The 5048-nt window shown below is 44.4% G+C and overlaps 2 annotated features.

The window, feature by feature from the left end:
* Window positions 3280-4292: an enhancer, noted in NCBI's record as "VISTA enhancer hs385". NCBI's record gives its function as "enhancer in: neural tube[4/9] | dorsal root ganglion[4/9]" and the evidence as "EXISTENCE:transgenic organism evidence [ECO:0001131][PMID:17130149]".
* Window positions 3668-4167: an enhancer, noted in NCBI's record as "H3K4me1 hESC enhancer chr19:31587183-31587682 (GRCh37/hg19 assembly coordinates)". NCBI's record gives its function as "activates a minimal SCP1, AML or CMV promoter by ChIP-STARR-seq in naive H9 embryonic stem cells {active_cell/tissue: H9 hESC(naive)}" and the evidence as "EXISTENCE:reporter gene assay evidence [ECO:0000049][PMID:30033119]".

The raw sequence follows: 5048 nt of genomic DNA, 5'->3' as shown, positions 1-5048 counted from the left end.
TCCTGCTAAGGAGGAAGCTATGTTTGGGGCCAGGCATACATTCCCTTTGAGGACAGTGCGGTATAGGACCATGTGACATTTCTTCCTCTGCTGAGGTAATGTTAAAAATGCCCAAAGGAGTTTGTTTCTCTTACAGCTTAGTGGCTTAATATTTTAAAATGGGAAATCATTGCTACATTGGAGAGAAAAACAACAGCAACAACAAAAGACTAAGGCAGAAGGAAATCATTGCATTTACCCAAGCAATCCAAGGAACTTCTACCTAACACTGCAGAGGGAGGCAGCTTCCATCCACCTCCCAGGATTCTGCATTGCTCCTTTCTAGCTACAGATGCTGGAGAATCACAGCCGTGAGGATAACTCTGAAGCAAAAGAAACTCCACATTGCAGAGACAATGAAAGAGGCCCAGCAAACCTGACTTGTGGGGGCAGCCTGGAGCAGGAACATCTGTTTCCAGCTAAGATGCTAACGTGCTGTTTGATGCAATAATCTTGAATTCTAGTGCAGTTTGAGTCCAGACTTTATGTTAGAGCTTGGATGAGTGCTATTTCTACATACCTTAGGTTCCTTAATCTTTGCAACTATTATATTATCTTCATTTTACAGATGGAAAAGTTTATTTTGAGGATCACTGGGCCATTTAATTCATTTGATTGCCAGTGGGCAAGCAACTTGTCCAAAGACGCTCAGATAGCCAGGGGAGAAATCCTCCTGAGGATTCACTTCTTTCTGGGAGGACAGGAAGCCCCACCTCTTTGGATTGTGTACATGCTTGCTCACCATACCGGCATCCCTTACAAAGGCACTAGAAGACCTGCTTCCCTGTCCTCTTACCTCAGGCCTGGGGTTAGAGTGTGTCTTTGCAAAAGGCACTGAAGATTTAAGGAGTGTGGATTTGCACATCATGCCCTTAGCCTGGAGGTCAGAGTTCTCCAAGTACTAAGAAACTGATCAGACATTATTTTCAAGATAATCGTGGGCAGCACCTTGCTCTTGAAAATTGATGCTGGCTCACAAGTTTTCTAGAAGTACTGGATGAGTATTATTAGTTTGGTGCAAAAGCAATTGCGGTTTTGCCATTCCTTGTAATAAATATTTGGGCAATTGAAACAGAAAGAGTGGTGGTTAGGGATGGAACCATCCCTCCCAGTGGCATGGCAAGGCAAGTCCCTCCTGGACAGTGCACTCAGGTAAACCCATTACTAAGAAGCATCATAGGGACATTTCACAAGTTTAATTACCAGAGAGTTTAATAGAGAGCTCTCACCCAGTGCCCTGACAAGTGATGAAGTAACTGGGCCAGTATCAGTCAGATTTTATTTTCTCTGGGGTTGGGGTACTTGATTGCCAACGAGTCAGAGCTGCTGAGAAACTGGCTTCACTCCCTGGCTGAGGGATCCAAGGCAGAGTAAACATTTGTCCAAACGCCAAAGCACAGCCCTGAAATTTTTTGTAGGAAGTTATTTTGGAGAGTGGACTGGCTTATATACTCTGGCATGAGTAGCATTTTGCTGGGAGCATTGTTTAGCTGGGCCCCCATGGAGTCCCAGTGAGACAGGGAGAAAGGAGGGTAATTCTACAGTCCACATCTGTGAGGGTTGAACTGGTGGCATCAAAGGGTGCAGCTCCAACTGCTCCTCTGGGCTCCAAAAACTAAATGGAGACCATTCTTGTTTATGTCCAGTTTGGGATTCAGAAAGCCCTCTCCAGCTTGAGGGATGGCATGGGAACCAGGAGGAAGCAGGAGGATCATTCAATATCAAAATGTCCCTGAACTCTTAGACAGCTCCAGGCAACTCTAGGGGTGGGATAGACCATCTTTATTGGTCTAAAGTCTGCATTAACTAATGCTTATTGGATGGTGAATTATAACAGAAACTCTGTTAATGTGTGGGAGAACCACATGAATATCAAACAAATTCATTATGATCGGTGCCATTACAGTGAATACCAAATGAGATCATAATGATGGAACAATGAAAGTGTTACCGATAGATTTTATTTCTGTAACAAATCCTCCATGTAAAAGCCCCTCCTGTAGTGTTAATTCTAATATAAGTTTGCATTTGAATATTAGCCTCATCAAGTAAATTATGCTTTCCAGTAGCCCACACAATAATGTTTAAGGTTGTGTTTTGGGTCGTGTGTTCTTTTTGCCAGTAGGATAAGCCCCCACCGGACAATTTCCAATCCACCTATAGAGTTTGACGACTACTGTGAAGGGTCACATTTTCCTCTGAGTGTCCAATCATTAGAAATTCATTTAGTATTCAATGTAATAACACTAATGCAATAGGACAGGATGAGTATGAAATTCATCTTGCATTCATATAGATGTGATATGTACATCTATCTGAAAGGGTTCCTCTCTAATTCAGCAGGAGTTTAGCCCTAGTTAATGGCCACTTTAAAAATAAAGCATTACTAGAGATGAAGGCTCAATTTCTCTCGACAGACATTTGGAATTTTGTGGAGACACAGCCATAATGTCAAGAATTTTTCCAATCAGCCTAAAGCCATTCAGAGTGTGGACACCAATGCTCCTCTGGGCCAAAGCTTGGGAGATGCAATTGCTCTGAAATGCATCGATAACGTGATAGAAGGCTGATATACATCCAGAGTTTCCTGTGCTCCCGACTCCGTGCTAAATGCCAAGGCTGGGTGATCACTTTAAGTCAGAGAGGTAGGTACCATTCATAATTCGATTTACATTGAAGAAATGGAAGTTTGGAGAAGTCGGGTAACTTGTTCAAGTATCTTGCAGGTAGTGCGTGGCAGAGACAAGAGTCAATCCTGTGGCCACAGACCCGCTTTCTAGAGGGGCCTGGAAGAACTGTGGCTTTCCTTCCAGAGCTGAGCCAAGTTTAGGGTGTCAGTAAATATTTGAATGAAAGCATCATTGAAAGATGTCCTCATGGCTAAAGCAATAGGAAAGCTCTGCGGAGTCGATAAGTATCCAGCTCAGGCATGAATTTTTGTGCATATCTCTATTAGCTGCTTCCAGGGATCAAATTTCGGAGACCAGAGACTAGCGAGGCACCCTCCCACACACTGTTCCTCCGTGTCACACACTCACCCTCATACAGAGGTCATGGAGAATTTCCAATGCTCCCAAGCAACCCTTAAGAATCCTGCCCAACTCTTGGTGTCAGGATAGTTACTACAGAAAGTGACCCCACTCATTTCCTGCCATTTCTGTTCTAGATAAGACACACCCAGATGTCTTATGCAGGACTGAGCAACTTCTCTGCAAAGTCCTCAATAAAATGCACTTTGATTCTCCTCCATAAAGGCATGGGTGCATGTCCAGCCACACCCTCAGAGCATTCTGGATAGAGCACGACACACACACGCGCATGCACACACACACACGCACGCACACACACACACCATCTTACACTGAAACTCAAACTGGCTTACAGTTAGTTCCCTATCAAGAATTAATGCAATATCATGCACACACCATTACTGAAAAATTCTACGCTGTTTTTTGCCAAGTGTTCCTATATAACAGTTTTATCACAAGTCTGACAGCCTCCATAAAAATTCCAGGCATTCTATATCAACAGCCCTCTTTGTACTAAGTTATTAAACATTAAATTTTTATTCGTCATTTGTATTCTGTTATGCAAAATAAGCTCCTTGATAAGATGTGTCTTCTTAATTGGGCCCTTGATGCTTCTTGGATCGGAGTTGTCAGATTAGCTGGAAGAAGAGGCACTGCGTTGAGCCAGCTAGCTACCAGGAGACCAATAGCTTTGTAACAACGATATTAAGTTAGAGAGGCCAAATGGAGGGCAGCGCCAGGCTCAGGTGAGGGTTTGCATCTGTGCATGTCTTCTGCTCAGGCACTTTTCTCCTGGCATCAGCAGGGCTGATGGAAATAGATTTGTTTGTTGTTTACAGCATGCAGCTGTGGGCAATGCTGCATGGGAGTTGTATAAGATTGAAGCAAATTTGTACTGAGACTAAAATACGGAGCTTTGCTCCCGTCAGCAGTCTCTGGAATCTTATTGTCGAAAACTTTATCTAGTTGTAACCTTCCCTAGGGTGATTTCCATTTGCAGCTGCCCTGTTCTGTCTCTCATCTCCTGTCCCCCACCGCCACCGTGGCGTTAGTACTTAGCGGGAGCCAGCCAGCCCCGGCCGGAGCTCCGGCTCCTTCCTGACAGGGCCACACACAGAAGGACCTGGCGACAGGGCGGCCATTTTCTCTCCCAGCCCTGCCCCGGTCACACAGCCTGTGCTGCCAGTCCCTGGCTACTGCCGTCTACGCTCAGCTGGACAGGATCCGGGGACTAGGGACACTGCTTTCCAGTCTGGCGTGGATGGCCAGAGAGCCACCCGATCTTCAAGCAGGGGAATTGCACCTGACAATAAATTATTTGCTGTATGTTGGAGCACATGCGTGCACCTTTCTAGAGACAGTTCTAATTTTACCCGGAGAGGCCTGTTCCGCTACTGCAAGTGTCTCTTTGTCCTCAGATGCTATTGGGAGGAAAAGAAAAACAAAAAAAAAAAAAAAAAAAAAAGCTTTCTGGGGATCCTGGGGTAAGGTCAATTATTCAGTGGGGACACACGCCTCCATTGTTAGGGCCAGCTGGCCTGACAGACAAGTCGTGTGCATTTTCCCTGATAGGACTCCTTCGAGTCTTTAGAAAGTAGTGTGTGTGTATGTGTGTGTGTGATATTGGTGTTAGTGTGTATCTGTGTGTACTTGTGTTTTATGTGCCTGTGTCTATATGTGTTTCTGTGTGTGGCTGTGTGTGTGTGCGTGTCTCTGTGTATGTTTGTGTGCATGTGTATATGTGTGTTTGTGTATCTGTGTGTATGTGTCCGTATGTGTGTCTATGTGTGTGTCTGTGTGTCTCTGTGCCTTTGTGTATGCATGTGTGTTTTTATGTGAGTATGTGTATGTGTGTATCTTTGTATTGTGTGTGTCTATGTGTGTATGTTTACATGTCTATGTGTGGATAGCGTCTATGTGTATATTTGTGGTGTCTGTATGTGTATAGATGTGTCTATATGTGTAAGTGTGTGTCTATGA

This window comes from Homo sapiens, chromosome 19 (assembly GCF_000001405.40).
Source record: "Homo sapiens chromosome 19, GRCh38.p14 Primary Assembly".
Classification (NCBI taxonomy): Eukaryota; Metazoa; Chordata; class Mammalia; order Primates; family Hominidae; genus Homo; species Homo sapiens.
Note: the sequence above shows the minus strand (reverse complement) of the source record. Positions and strands in the feature narration are given on the sequence as shown.